The sequence below is a fragment of the Homo sapiens genome, chromosome 5 (genome assembly GCF_000001405.40).
Source record: "Homo sapiens chromosome 5, GRCh38.p14 Primary Assembly".
Lineage (NCBI taxonomy): Eukaryota > Metazoa > Chordata > Mammalia > Primates > Hominidae > Homo > Homo sapiens.
Genome location: NC_000005.10, coordinates 120,778,342 through 120,795,325, shown reverse-complemented (window position 1 = coordinate 120,795,325; position 16,984 = coordinate 120,778,342). Strand labels below are relative to the sequence as shown.

The 16,984-nt window shown below is 33.8% G+C and overlaps 1 protein-coding gene across 2 annotated transcripts in view; it reads right to left on the bottom strand.

The window, feature by feature from the left end:
• Nucleotides 1–731: 731 nt before the first annotated feature.
• PRR16 (proline rich 16) overlaps nt 732–16,984 on the bottom strand; it is a 330,317-nt gene continuing 314,064 nt past the window's right edge. For both annotated transcript variants that reach the window (XM_047417289.1, XM_047417292.1), the window contains exon 3: nt 732–5,372. The gene's annotated coding sequence lies outside the window, so the exon portion shown is untranslated. The remainder of the gene's footprint in view (nt 5,373–16,984) is intronic.

The following is a 16,984-nucleotide window of genomic DNA, read 5'->3' as shown; positions in this document are numbered from 1 at the left end:
GGCCATTCTTAATTTTTTAATTTAGAATTTTGCTCTCTTTGGTATAGACATACCTCAAAGATGTTGCTGGTTCCAGGCCATTGCATGAAGTGAATATCTCAACAAAGCCAGTCACACAATTTTATTTTGTTTGTCAGTACATATAAAAGTTATTTTTATAATATACTATGGTCCATTAATTGTGCTATAGCATTATGTCTAAAAAATATATATATGAATTTAAAAGTACTTTATTAGTAAGAAGTGCTAACAATCATCTGAGCCTTCATGAGTCATCTTTTTGCTGGTGGAGGATATTGTCTCTATGTTGAGGGCCTTGCTCTGGATTAGATTTTGGATTAAGGGAATGTTGTGGATGGTTTGATCTTCTATCTAGACCACTCAAACTTTCTCCATGTCAGCAATAAGGCTGCTTCACTTTTTTGTTTTATCATTTGTGTTTTTACTAGAGCAGTTTTAATTTTCTTCAAGAACATTTCCTTTGCATTCACAACTTGGCAAACCATTTGGCACAAGAAGTCTAGTTTTCAGCCTATCTCAGCTCTCAATATGCCTTCCTCACCAAACTTAACCATTTCTAGCCTTTGATTTAAAATGAGAAACATGCAACTCTTTCTTTCATTAAACACTTAGGGGACATTGTAGGGTTATTAATTGGCCTAATTTCAATATTCTTGTGTCTTAGGGAATAGGGAGGCCTAAGGACAGAAGAGAAATAGGGGAACGGCTGCTTGATGAAACAGTCAAAACACACACATTTATTGATTAAGTTCGCCATCTTATATGGGCGTCATCCTTGGCACCCAAAAACAATTACAACAGTAACATCAAAAATCACATATTACCATAACACATATAATAATATGAATATCAATATACTAATGATGCATATGCTTGAAATAGCGTAAGAATTACCAAAACATGACATAGAGACACAAAGTAAATGCATGCTGTTGGAACATGATGCTGATAGACTTGCCCCATATAGGCCACAAACCTTCAATTTGTAAAAACCACAACATCTGTCTGAAGCACAACAAAGCAAAGCACAATAATATGAGTCATGATTGTATTCATTTTGAGCCTCTTTTTCTTATAGTTTATACTCAGTCAGATATATTTTAACCTATTGTTTCAAATATGTAACTTTCTGCATCTCTTTGTTTTGGCAGTGCAAGTAAATCTTTCCTGTTGATGAGTGAGAGAGATTATAGTGGACTTGGTGGTGGGAGGAAAATGTCATCTTAGTCTTTTCAGGAGTTAAACATACCTACATTTGTTGTACTGGATACATTCAGCACATAACCACATTCTATTAACAAGGAACCACGTATATTATACAATGGTGGTCCCACAAGGTAATACCACATTTTCAATGTATCTTTTCTATGTTTAGGTATGTTTAGATTCACAATTATCATTGTGTTACCACTGCTTACAGTATTCAATACAGTAATTTGTTGTACAGGTTTGTGCCCTGCAAGCAAAATAGGCTATAGCATCTAGGTTCATGTAAGTACATTATATGATGTTAGAACAATAATGAAATCACCTAACTCCTCATTTTTCAGAAAGTATCCCTGTTTTTAAGCAATACATGACTATACTTCTGTCATTTCTGCATACTTAACTGTTTTTACCCTTCTTATTGTTTTACTCTTCGTACTGTTTTATTCTTTATATTGTTTTTACTCTTCATATTTTTGTTTCTTTACCTAGGATGTAGATAGGTGAGATCTGATTTCCATCTAACCAGTCTTCTCTGCACTACTCTCTTTTTTCTCTTTGCACAACTCTAGATTTTTTCAGGTCTTCTGATGTCTTACCTTCTTCCTCTTTGCAGTGCTTTGCACATGATTTTTCCCTTTTTATCCACTAGTCACCCTTCAGATCTCAGTTCAAAGCTTTCTCTACCCACTGGGTTAGAGCCACTGGACATGTGATATCTCCAAACCATATACCTTTTTTTTTCTTTTTATTTTATTTTTTTCTGAGGCAGGGTCTTAATCTTTTCAGGAGTTAAACATGCCTACATTTGTTGTACTGGATACATTCAGCACATAACCACATTCCATTAACAAGGAACTACGTATATTATACAATGGTGGTCCCACAAGGTTATACCATATTGTCACTGTGTCTTTTATATGTTTAGGTATGTTTAGATACACAACTTCTGAAGGTCTTGCTCTGTCATCTGGGCTGGAGTGCAGTGGCACAATCTTGGTTCGCTGCAAACTCCTTCTCCTGGGCTCAAGCCATCCTCCCACCTCAGCTAACCAAGTAGCTGGAACTACAGGCACCCACCACCGTAGCCACCTAATTTTTTATTTTTTGTAGAGACAGGATTTCACCATGTTGTCCAGGTTGGTCTCGAACTCCTAAGCTCAAGTGATCCCCCTGGCCTCGGCCTCTCGAAGTTCTGGATTAACAGGCGTGAGCCACCACGCCCAGCCCACATCCTTTTCTTTATAGAATTTAGCATATTGTAATTTTTTTGTTAACGTGTAATTAAATGTTTAATGTAGTTCTCTCCAACTAGATTTTAGACTCTATTAAAATAGTCTATGTATTTTTTCTTACCCTTTTGTTCCTAATGACCTGCATAATTCATGTCCCATAGTGAGCACTCAGTAAATAAGCAAGATTATCTTACCTAAGTAAACATAATAATTATGTGAATAGGGGCCAGCAAGGAGAGACTTGCATGTTATGTGTAAGACACCAGCACTCTAAAAGAAAATGTTAAGAAGTGAAGATTATCTACATTGGCATTTCGAGATAAAAATGAAACCTGTTAAGTAGTACTTCTCAGTGGGAACTGGCAATTGTTTAATAGATTTGTAAAAGTAATACTGACTTGTGAGAATAGCAGGTTTAAAAGTTGAAGATGAAAGAAGAAACAGTGATGGACAAGTGAAATAACTAAGAAAGTAAATATAATCAAAACTTAAGAGAAAAAACAGACTAAATTCAAAGAAAATTTTAGACACTTTTTCTAGTCTGGCCACCTCCAGTCTCTAACTCACTTTATAAACTACTACTGGAGTTATCCTGCTGAAGAGCAGGCCTGATCATTTCACATATTTGCAGTCTTTTAGACATTCGTGAGAGAGTACAGCTGGTAAAGTGCTGCTTATCACTGAGTATATGCACAAAATAAAGAACTATATTTTTTATCACATATGCTTGATTAATTTTATTGTCAAATATTTTTGGGAAAGTTGGCTTTCCTATTTATAAGTTCAAATAATTTACAGATTGAAGCAATCAGCATGGATTGCTTCATGGATGAGTTCAGGCATCTATACTTCAATGCCTATCATCTCACAGGAACTGGCAATTTGATTCCTTGCTTGATTATTTTAATGTACAATATATTACTTTTCAGAGGTTCAAATCATGCAAAACAAACTAATTTTCTTCATTACATTGCAAGGTATTCTAAGTACCAGGAGATATTGCAGAGTGTAAACCAATTTAAGTGTACAGAACAACATGTTGGGAGTTTGATTTTATATCATAGTTTGGGAATAAGCCTAATGACCTATTCTTTTAATTGTTATAAGCAATTTGTTTGAATTGTACACTACAAACAGCCCTTTTTGATTGAGTTCCATTTTTGCTCCAGTATGATTACCTACTCATAGGTAGATGATAGATAGATGATAGATAGATAGATAGATAGATGATAGATGGATGGATAGATAGATAGATAGATAGATAGATAGATAGATAGATGATAGAAGTTCTTAGCAGACTTCTGGATAACAATAATGAGAACACTTAGGATTAGTGACCTTTTTTTTTAATCTAATTATTATGTTCTAAACAGAATTCCAGAAACAAAACTTAGAAAAAATCCTTACTGATACAATACCTGAGCTTTCTGTTTTCTAGCAATGTTCCCTTGTATTAAAATTAATTCTCAATAGTTATAACTATAATGTTAAAATAGCCCTTCACAAGAAAGTCATAGTGAAAAATATACCATGTTTTTCAGAGCTTAGAAAACAGAAAGCACAATTTTATACTACAAAAATACTTGAAATATCAATCTTCCATTAGTTCTGAATTAATATGACAAAAGCTTGCCAATAAACCAAAAGAAACTTGTTTTCTTGGTAATGAAAACCAAATCAAATAAGCAACTACAAACAATACAAACAACAGATTTATTTAGAAAAATAAACTGAAAATGCTGTTTGGCTATAAAAACTGTTATATGCCAAATACAAATTACAAATGACTTTTTAATTAAGAGAACAAATAGATGTTCAACACAAATGCTTAGTGTGCATTTCACTGTATTTGACTTCTTGGTTTTTAATGATATCAAATGATGGTCATTAAAAACTTTGGATCCCTTTTGGATTCATTTGACCACACTGATGCTTTTTCATTGTTATTCTGTAGATGTTTTTAAATTTGTTTTAAAATCAAATCCATTTTTTATTAGATAACTGATTTTTTTTTTTTGAAAGAAGAAAAATCAATGTCTTGAGAATTCTTACATTTTTCCATTTTGGATTCCTGCAAAAAACTGCTTGCTGTGGTCTCAAAACTCATGGGACCATCTGTGCAAATAACAGCACACATCATTACCCTGAATGGAAGTGACAGTGCAAATATTAGAAGTTCACTGAGAAGTAATCAGTAAGAACTGACTTCCCTCCTCTTCCAACCAATATAGCATGAAGGATTGAATGTGAAAATTTTTCAAGCAATTGACAACAATGCTATTATCTCAGTATGGCTTTGAGGCTATACACAAGATGGCAAACATTCTCTGTCTGCAAACAGCAACATTCGTCCTAAGACTGTGCATTGCTGCAATGTTTCTCTGTTCATTCAGTTTTCTTTTTGTCTACATATTTTGAAATGATGTGTAATTCTGGCTACAGGTACCTCATCTCTCTGTACTTTAAACTTCCCAAATGATAAATCAGTTTATAATTTACTGGTTTAATTGCTTAATATTAATTTTGTTGGTCTCACATCTGGGAACAGTTTATTTCCAAAGTGAAACAAGATGAGTTGGTTTGGTGTTTATGTTTTGTTGGCTTCTTGATAGTCCTTTCCATTTATTTATTTTATCTTCATGGTAATTTCTGAGTGAAGAGATTTAAGGCTGTGGCTTTTTTTACCCCCAAGGCTCTGCTCATGGCTGTCAGATAGAGGAAGATGATTTTATGCAGACTCTATCAGCGATCATTTGTGCTCCAAGGTTGAGGGATTTGCTGCTCTGAGATGGCCAGGCTTCTGGTTACTTTAGAATTAGATCTGTCCTCAGGAAGTCATAAAGATGAATCAAGTGAGAAAAACGAATTGACATGCCCCCAAGTAAAGGTATTCCTTCCAACCTGAAGGAGCTGTCAGAAGAAGGAAAACAAAATATAAATATGATCAGTTTAAACATAAGTATGGTTTAACAAAAACACACAAAGATTATTAAAAATGAAGCAATCATTTGCTAATAATAATCTTAGATTATTTACATTGTCAAGCATTTTATTTTAAATGTCTAAACATACTTTAAATAAATATTCCATTTAAATTGTATATATTATTTTATAACTTAGTTATCAAAATTTAAGTACAGTAGTATGATTATACCTAAATTAAAAGATCTTCCCTTATTCCTAACAGTGTTTAGAACTTCAGATAAATTTGTCATTAAGTATAATAAGTTCTCAAAATAGTTAAGAAATGCTTTTCCATTGAGGTAGATCTTTCATTTGAAATAATAACCACAAAGTGCATTTTCACAACACTGTATAATGTAAGAATGATGTAATTTTTATTGCAGTCTATACAGTTTAAACTTATTACCAGATTAAAAAAGGGTTATTTTTTCCTTGATATAGCAGAGAATTAGCCATATAATTAATCTTCCTTCACTTTAGGAATATCTGCAATACTTTTAAATAAGTACATTAAAATATATCCATATCTCTAATTAATGATTTTTTGGAAAACAAAAAGAAATGCCACAATTATCACCCTGACAACCCAACATCAGACATGTTTAGCACCACTTAATGTGGAGTGTGTCTGTGGTCTTCTATTTAAGTTAAGATGTAGTAAAGAATATTGATGCTTACACTCACAATAATAGGTTCAGAATGTTATTACTATAAACCTAGTATAATGATTAATTGATTTATAAGTTATCAGAAAAGTCAGAGACAGAGGAATGCCTTTAAGTGTATTTTTTTAATCTTAAAGTCCATCTGAGAACCCCCTGTTTTAACCCTTTCATTTGGGGTTAGGCAAACCCCAAAGAGAATGTGGTTTTCTCCCATGTAGACACACGAACATACATACAGGCAGCACAGTAAATAATTTAGTCATTCTGTGACAAAATTACTAGTCACTATTCTATTAGATTAATAAGTGATAATTTTCATTATGTTACCCAACTACCAAGACAATGTTTTAGTACTAAATGATCTAAATGAACAATCAAAAAGGAAAAAAAATCAGTAACTCTGCTATCTCCAAGATTAAAACCAGAAAAATCACTGAACACAGGTCAGTGAGACTCGAGGGCTTACTCTGAGTCATTACTAAAGGTGTTCATGAAAGATAAAGAAATAGTAAAAAACAATCTTTCATCATGGAGTTGCTTAAGAAGATGCAAGAACTTATCTGTACAAGAAAGTGGAAAAGCCTGTTTGGAACTGGCCTAACTTTATATAATCCCAGCAGCATTGCTTGCCTCTATTGGTGCCATTTTTGTATCATCTAGAAATATAAGTCTCTATGTATGTAAAGGAAACCAGCACTCAAGCTGTTATTAATGAACAAGCAATAGTCCCACAATAATATTTTTGTTTTACTATTAAATAAAAATCTTAAATAGTATGAAAAACACACAAAGCCGACTTTCCACAAATGTGTGGGTACATAATTCATGGATTTGAAACAAAGATAATTAAATGTGCCAATTATAGTTTTAACGGTTATGTAATATGGGAGTCTTCAGCAGCCTTTGATAAGCTGCTACAGCTTATTAAAACTTCAATCTATTATTTGTTTAAAAATATTGATTCATCACCTACTGTGTACTACTCTAGAGTCCATGGATACAAAAAACTTATTTCTTGCTCTCCAAGGAGATTAGTATCTGAAAGTTAAAAAAGCAAACATTCATAGTAAAAAATTGGTGACACAATATATGTAAATATAATATGTTAAAATGAACACGGCGGTAGTGAGCCTACAAAAGGTGGCATTTGAATTGAAATTTAAGGGGTAGGTTGGAATTTTCAAAAATAGTAAAATGTTACTAGTTATGAAATAAGGGTATTTCAAGCAGAGGGAGAAGCATGATCAAAGGCATAGAAGCAAGAGAGAGAGTAAGACCTTTAATATTGCATAGCATAAAATTATAAAGAGAAAATATAAGTTTCTGAAGAGCTTGACAGAGGACAGGGTGTCCTTTTATACTATGTAAAAGTAGATATTTATGCTAATGGTACTGGAAAATGTTGAAAAATTTTGATGAGGAGCGTGCCTAGAAGTGTGGAAAGTACAACGGAGGAGGAGGAAGTACTTACGCTCCATATTTTCAGTAAAGACATGGCGAAGACACCGGCTGAAAGCAATTAACTATGAGTACAGTTGCAGATGCTTTCTTAATGGTAAATTGAAGTGAGCAAACTAACCCATTCCTTCTTCCTAAATTAAGAGATCGTTTTATTCAATTACCATGCATTCAAGATAAGAGCAAACATTATTATAGGCGTTTCTTGTTCCACCAAATTTTTAGGTATCTTATGGAAGCGGATATTTGCCTCTCAGCCCTCAGTGGCCATAAGTTAAAAGTAGAAAACAAAATCATCTTACCATTAGAAGTCTATATCTCCTGATTAGATTCTAAGATTGGATATTAAAGGAATGTATTTTAAAATATCACTGAATTTTGAAGATTTGTTACATATATCCAGGCTTCTCACTGGTTGGTATGAGATACCACATTTGATCCATTACCTCAGACCCACTAAACAAAGCCTCAAATTGCTTTTCATGTAAAATTTTGCCTATTTAATAATTTTATGAACTTCCATTATTGTTAGTTATAAAATACACAAATTTTTAAACCACATTTTTTTGCATGTTTACTTCAAATATAGAGACATAATATACCATCACTGTTATACAAGTTAAATAAGTCTACTCCACATTGAAATAATAAAAAATAAATGATCAACAGAAAGATCTTGTACAATCAAAAATGAATTGAAGCATTCTCTATGGAAATGCCTTCTGACCCATTCTTCATATCAACGGGTTAATTGCTCTATTCTGTTTGAAATGACTTGGCTTAAAACCATATAAGTTTTACTCACTTTTTGGATGGAATAGGTCAAAGTTTTCAAGCACTTCAAGGGTCATATTCTCATTCTTGTAAATGTTTGGAGGCCCAAATGCAATATGCAAAATGTGAATGATGCTAGATAATTTTTAGTCTTGAAGCATTAAATGTCAAGTTAATTAATTTATGTAAGTAACATATTAAGTGACTGAGAACATTTCTATGCAGTAAGGGCAGTATGATTTAAAAATGCCAAAGACAGCAAGCAAAGCTAAGGACATGCTAAAAATAATACAAAAAATTTTTCTAAACAGACATGTCTCATAATTATATATTTATTTGCATTTTGGTAAAATTTTTATAATTTTCTTCTTTATAATCTATATTTATATATTTTAATTACACACATTTTTGTATATTATAGTTTTGAAATATATTTTATAAAATATATGATACTTAATTTAAAATAATATATATAATATACAATTTAAAATATTTTAAACTATAGGACAATGTGTCATGTGTCTGTTGCATTATAAGAAGTAGTAACTGTTAAGAGACCAAAATCATGTTAAAAAAAATCTGTCTTATTTCTCCTGACTGTTAAAAGCAGCCCTCCCAAACCAGATACAGTTTATCCATTCTGCTTTATTCTTATTATAGGCAATGTTGTCTAGTAATATGGCTGACAATCTACCAGTATCTGGTTTCCATGAAAATAAAACTTGAAAGTTAACCCAGGGTAATTTTTATTTTTATGGAAAAGAAGAATATGTTTTGCTATCCCTCTATTCACATTAAGAAACAGAAATATTTGGGAATTTAGATTACCAAACAGACAAGATTTTGTGACTCATAAAACAATAAAATTCAACATAACAGGTATGCATTTAACCCAAGAAACCAAAAAAAAAAAACAAAAGCTTTCTTCCACAAACTGTGAAATACTAATGAAAATTTAAAAATTAATAAAAACTAGCAAAGCTACAAAAAATGAAAAACTTGATTTTTTAAAATCTTTTTTTTTTAAAGAATGACTAAAATATATATATTGCCATGGAAGAATAAAAAGAAAAACATAAAAAGCAAATGGGTAACTTTAGAAATCAGGAAAAAAGAGCATTTAAGAGACTTCTAGGCCAGGCGCGGTAGCTCACATCTGTAATCCCAGCACTTTGGGAGTCCGAGGCGGACGGATCACAGGTCAGGAGTTCGAGACCAGCCTGCCCAATATGGTGAAACCCCGCCTCTACTAAAAATACAAAAACTAGCCAGGCATGGTAGCAGGTCCTGTAGTCCCAGCTACTGAGAAGGCTGAGGCAGGAGAATTGCTTGAACCTGGAAGGAGGAGGTTGCAGTGAGCTGAGATCGCGCCACTGCACTCCAGCCTGGGTGACAGAGAAAGACTCTGTCTCAAAAAAAAAAAAAAACAACAACAACAAAACACACACACACATACACAGAGACTTCTATGTGTACAAGTAAATCAAATAATTAATCTGATAGAAAAATATAAATTACTAACTTTGCCTTAGGAAACATTTAATCAATACCAACAAAAGAAAATGAAAGGCAGTCAAAGCTTTCCCACTGAAATAAGGCGTCATGATGAGATGAGCTTTCTTGATGCTGGGCATTCTTGTAATTGGTCATGTTCTTTGCTTATGGGCTGTTATAATAGATACTGATTCCTATTTGGGACCTAAGTGTCAGCCAGGATAACTCTCATACCCACGTATGGTCTCCATCTTTCATACTTGTCACTTTGCAGAGTTAGAAAAAGGTTGTAGCCCTAGACACTTGTCAAAACTCTCATGGAAAAAAAATAACCAATACTGCCTTACTGGCAAGCTTTGTTTATGATATTTGTATTATTCTAATGAAGCCATTAGCAAGTGTGGCCTACTGTAGTCATGTGAGATTGTTCAGTTGAGCCTACAACTACTGGATGTTATACACAGGGAGAGATTCCTTTTATTTGCACTTATCAAAATGTTACTGGTTTCATCTAATAGCAGCGGGTGGTCAGGCTAGGTGTGGAGTAGCCTGTGTAGCACCTGCAACTAGTTACATAGTTTAAAGATACACCTAACACCTGAGAACCATTAGGATGGTGCCATGGATATTCCTGTCCTGGTCATAATGAGCCCATGGTTTTGTGATTCTAAGAGAAGAGAGAATTTTGAATAAGATGTTCAATGTCATTCTTCTAGGAAGAATTAGCAAAAAATGTAAAACGTGCTATAATAGAGAGTTGAGCAAAAGTTTCCTTGAGACCTGGGAAAAAAGTTTCAAAGAGCTTTCATGGATAAAAATTATATTTAATCTAGCTCTTAAGACAGGTATTTCGTCTTTGAGAAATGTCTACTCCGATCTCTTGCCCATTTTTATTCAGATTTTTTTGCTATTGAGTTTTTTGAGTTTCTTACATATTCTGGTTATTGAGTTCCTTATAGATTATTGTGAGTTGAATAGTTTGCAAATATTTTCTCCCATTCTATAGGTTGTCTCTTTGCCAACAGGCATATACAAAATATGCTCAACATATATAATCATCAGAGAAATGCAAATTAAAACCACAATGAGATATCATTTCACTCCAGTTAAAAATGGTTTTTATGAAATAGAGAAAATAATAAATGCTAGCAAAGATGTAGATAAAGTAAAGCTCGTACACTGTTGGTAGGAATGTAAATTGGTATAGCCATTATGAAAAATAGTATGAAGAATCCTCAAAAAACTAACAGTAGAACTACCACATGATCCAGCAATTCCACTGCTGTGTATATAGCTCCAAAAGAAAGAAATTCAGTATATTAAGAGATATCTGCACTCCCATGTTTATTGCAGCACTACTCACAATAGCCAAGATATGAAATAAATATAAATGTCCATCAACCAATGAATGGATAAGAAAAAGTAGAACATATATACAATGAAATATTATTCAGCCATAAAGTAGAAAGATATCCTTTGTAATTACATGGTTGGAACTGGAGGACATTATGTCAAGTGAAATAAGCCAGCCACAGCAAGACAAATACACATGTTCTCGTTCATAGGTGGGAGCTTAAAAAATTATCTTATGAAGGTGGAAAGTAGAATGATGATTACCAGAGGCTGGTATGGGTAGTGGGAATGGGGGGAAAAAGGGGTTGGTAAATGGGTACAAAAATTCAGTTAGATTGTAAGAATAAGATCTAGTGTTTGGTAGCACAGTAGAGTGACTATAGTTAACAATAAATTATTGTATATTTCCAAATAACTAGAGTGGGTTTGGAATGTTCCCAACACAAAAACATGATAAATGTTTTAGGTGATGGGTGTCCAGATACCCTAATTTGAGCATAATACATTGTACACTTCTATCAAAATATTTCACATACCCCTTAAATACATACAACTATTATGTACTCATAAAAATTAAAACAATTTAAATTTTTTTAAAAGATAGATAGGCAGCATATTACCAGTTTGAAAAAAGAAAGTTGAGGGAAGCATCCTAGGTAGACAGAGAAAATGATCTCAATGCAGTTTTTAAAACATGATGCCATTCTACCTATCTAGTACGTTCTACTTTCTGCCCATGTATCAGTTCTAAGTTTTGAGAAGTTTGTTTTGGCTATTATGTGGATATATATAGAATTAAATACCTATGATTGAATTAGAAAAAGTCATTTATGGGTGCACTTCATTGTAATCTTTAAGTCTGATTAAATAGCTGCTTTAGAAAAAACGTTTCATTTCATGCTTCGCAAACTATGAATACTGAGTAAATCACATTGAAAATGATTATTGTAATGTGAAGAAAATGATATTACTAATTCTATCATTGGTTCTAAGTTAACACAAATAATTCTTTCTTATGAATTATATATGACATTTTCTAAAATGCAATTGTGATTCTGATGGCTGCACCTGTTTTCCTGAGTCTGAGAGCAGTGCGAGCACTGCCTAAGGAATCTGTACATCCACCAGCAAGACATACTGCATGAACTTTGAGTAAGTTCTTCTTATATTGAGGATATTTAGTAAGTGTGCATCTGCCTGACAAGCAACAACTTAGAGAGATGACAATTTAAATCTTTAAGATTAGATGGTCATTTTCTAAAGTAAGCACCTGATACCCTGAAAAATAATGCACTTCAGAATTGCCCTTCTCATCTGAACTGGTGGGTTCAGACAGTTATATACATTAACATTAGTTCCAAATTACCAGGACCAGCCACAAAATTTGCAGGGCCCAAAGAAAAATAAAATTCAGGGCTCTGTTTGTTTGAAAAAGCAGGATAAAAGCTCTTTCTTTCTCATCCAGTCTCTCTAGATGTACCACTTAATGCCTGTTCCACTGGACACAGGGATGCTTACAGAGTGAACACAGACCTTCACAATCCCTGGAGCCCTACCTTGTAACTTATGACTGCAGTGCTTTGGTCCCCACTGAGATAGAGGGAAGCAGCATATGGGAGGGAAAATAGGTAGCCAGGAACTTATCCAGGGAAATGTGGAACCAACCCCGAGGGGAAGCGCTGAGATCCTAGTCACGTGTCACTGTCCCATCAGGCTTCACTTTTAAAACACAATTTGAAAGATAAAACAATTAAAATCATCAAGATGGTGACTGTAGACCTTAATAAAACCCCAAGTGCCATGGGGTGCAGTTATGAGGGTGGGCTGCATGTATGGAGGGATTGTGGTTTTGGAGGGGGGTACTTCTGAACACTGAGCACAGGGGCCTGTGCAAATGCACTGGTCAACTGGTCACACACTTAATGAAGCTAATCCTGCAAGTCTGTTGCAAATTGATGGTTTAATCTGTCCCACTCCAAACTTTTACATTAAAGTCCAAAATAACACCAACCACACACTCAGTTTAGATTGGTATTATGGTTTATTGTGGGTGTTTTTTCATTCAAGAGTCACTACAGAAGAACAATGTGCATGAAAGAAAAGTAGTAATATGAACAATAGTAGAAAGAATGCCTTGAACTATTTATATGCAAATCACTGTTTTTATTAGTAAATTACAAATACCCACTTGTTAAAGTTTTTACAATTTTACCTAGAAAAATAGAATTTTTATCAATTCTTGCAACCTTTTCCCTTTAAAATAAGGACATAATTTGTAAGGTCTATCTACAATATTCAAATACTTGAAAAATGAATTTGGTGAAATTCCCTAAGAAAATAAGCTATAGATATTAATGAAGATATAGAAGCTCTGTTGTCCATGAAACATCAGTATTCGCACAAGAAAAAAACTGCTTTTATTACTATCTGAAACTGTATCTCTTTTTTCACATATGTATATTGACGGGGTTGAGAACATGGTACTCCAAAATATGGCTCCTTGTCATACTGGGTATTTTAAGCTTAAGAAATGTGAGAAAACCACAGAAGCAGGAAGGTGTCCCTGACCTTCTCCTGATCTCCCTGAAGCAGATCATAAAATCCTTATGTGAGAGATGCCTCCCATACACCAAGGAAAGGAGCACTTACCTCTGAAGACAAAGCATCACAGAGAAGAATCTGAACAGACTTTGCTCTGTTTCCTCTAGTTTATTACCATTAGATCATATTTTTTTATTCACTCATGCGTCTCCAAAAGCATTCCCATTTTCATCAAAAGTAGCATAAAAATACCCAGGTCTACCCGTTTCTTCTGGTCTTCTTTTCTTTATAAATGCTTCTATGTCACATACAACTTATATTTTAAAAATTTGTATGTTTTTCTCTTGTTAATCTCGTTAGTCTTGTTAGTCTTGTTTCAGACGCTTCAGCCATGAATCTGAGAAAGCGGATAGAAAAGAATATTTTCCTGTCTATGATATGCCCATGTAGAATATCATCAGTTTGAAAAAAAAATTGTCAATTATTTTGCCAATTAATTCAGTTGAAATAAATGTTAACATAATATTTAATAATTATGAAAATTAGATAGATACATAGATATTTCTGAGATGGAGTCTCGCTCTGTTGCCAGGCTGAAGGGCAGTGGCGCGATCTCGGCTCACTGCAACTTCCGCCTCCCAAGTTCAAGGAATTCTCCTGCCTCAGCCTCCCAAGTAGCTGGGATTACAGGTGCCTGCCACCACGCCCAACTAATTTTTGTATTTTTAGTAGCGATGGGGTTTCACCATGTTGGCCAGGATGCTCTCGATCTCCTGACCTCGCGATTCCCCCCGCCTCGGCCTCCCAGAGCGCCGGGATTACAGGCTTGAGCCCGCCCGGCCGGAAATTATATTTCATGAAGGATGTCATTAAGGTTACTACGATGTAGTAACTTTTTAACATACTGATAATATCCTTATACAATTATTCGATATGTGTATTGTAAAAAAACGTTGAAAAGCTTATCTTAGAAGCCTAGCTCAGACTTAATTTGGGATTTTTTGACAACCTATTGAAAAAATTGTAATATTATTATATACATTTTAGGATTAAATATCAAAGTCAAATTCTAGCACAGAAAAGGAGTAAATGATGTAAAACGAAAATGTTTTTCCGTCTCTTAGATCCAAGTTGAAAATATTATCATGAAAAATGTTTTCTAGAAATCCCTTTCTACTGCCTGTTATGGGCACAAATAAACAATTAAATTAGTTAAGATCACCACCAGCTTCTTATAATTAAGTGTAAATTCCAATCACTTACACAGTACTCCTTCTACAGGAATTAAGCAATATTAATTAAATCATTTATTTTATGTGCAATTCTATAGTACTTCCTTAGTTATAGGCTAACATTGAACTTTTTATATAAATTGGTTAATTAGCAAATGCTGATGAACTCTAAATACAGTGCCTGGTAGGATGTGATGTTTTTGGAGTCTGGGGCTCATAAGTAAGTTCCATCCCATGGTAGGTCTGAGAATCTGTACAAGATAGTTTTTGAGACTCAGTTTTCCTTTCTGTAAACAACAACAACAAAAAGGATAGACATTAATATCTAGCTCCCAAGGTTGATGACAAAAGTAAATGAGAGCATAGGTACAAATGAATATGCAATGTTCATTTATTTCCCCTTTATAAAGAGACATAAACAGTCAACAGATATAAATTTTTGTAGATCACTCCACAGGAATGCTGAACAAGCTACCCAAGAGCTTGATTCTTGAAAAGGACCCAAGGCTACTTGGCACACGTCGATGGGAGAGCTGTCATACACCCTGAGTCCAATCTCTGACAACTGAAGGAGGTGGCAGTAGCAGATATGCCAAGAAATGAAACTAGAATCAAAGTAATTCTCTTGCTTTTTCCTTTGCTGTTATTAAGAATATCAGCATGTGCCATTTTTGCAATCAGAGAGTTGTAAATACCCTCTAATATTTAATTATTTTGGGGTAATACAATACAGAGCATAAAAAGTACTACAGTATAAATGCTAAAAGACCCAATTTAGAAAGTCACCAGAATACTGTGTCATTTTGCACGAACACAGAAAAGCACACGAAATGCGAACATTTACTGCATCATCTGAGGAAGTGGGGGATTCAGCTATATAAAACAAGGATGTTTTCTCTAGGATGTTTCTTGATCCTAACTAATGGTGTTCAGAGGATAGTTTGTTGTGTTTTTTTGTTTTGTTTTGTTTTGTTTTCCCTGAAAAAGCTCTGCTTTCAGAATGTTTCCATCAACCTAAGCTAAGCAGGGATTTTATTCATGATAATGATTGTGAACTGTTTTCTCTAAAGCCAAAAATGTTTTTGAAAACTTTTTCATCCTAAATCCCTGTTTTCCTGCTCCTCCTTTTAATTTCCTTTTTATTCACTGATGTGCTGCTTACAGAAACTGTTGCAGCCAGATTGGAGAGCGCTGTGAAATGAATGGCTGTGATATTTATCCCTCCTTCTGGCAAAACTTCTTTGTGTAACTGCATTAAACCCTGCGGAATCTAATGTTAACGTGTGCATATTTTACTAAGTTCCATTGGAAATGAGGCATGCTGGAAGAATGACATCATTTTTTCATGGTGGAATGAGAGTACCTTCAATCAGAATAGAATCAAAATGCTAACATTTCTCCCTCCTCCTTGTTTAAACATTTTTGTCAAACCATTTCATTTCCATTTTTAATTTATTACTTGAAACAAGTAATAACAATACTTCCCTCTCTAATATCCACTGATGCTTTTCAGCCATAAAATGCATTAGACAAGCGATCAAATGCTGCTTTCATCTTTACAAAACCCCACTTCTTTTTTCCTCTGGCTTTCAAATAAATGACAAAATGCCTTCCATGAATCAGCAAGTTGGATTTTGTGGGTTGCAATTTTATGAATTTAATCAGGTTAACTTGTCTCCCTTACCAAAACACAAGCAGGGTTAGAAGTCAAAAACAGTTTGGTCAGCCATGACTAATCTGCTGAATACAATCACGTTAAATTCTGGAAAAGGAATCTGGGATTTTCCTCTGTTATTAAGGTCCCTGAAGCTATTGGACTTGGGAAAACATCTAGTTGTCTATTCAAGACGGCGTCTCTATTCTCCACTTCCTTTTTTAAAACATTGTACTCAAAAGACATTAGAAATAAAGCAAAATAAAATATATACAACTTAAATTTTATTTTTCTTCTAAAATGTTTTTCTCTTTAGGCAAACATGAATAATGTAAGATTAAGGATAGGAAAAATGTCTTGCTCCAACTACAATAGAATGGTGTTTCT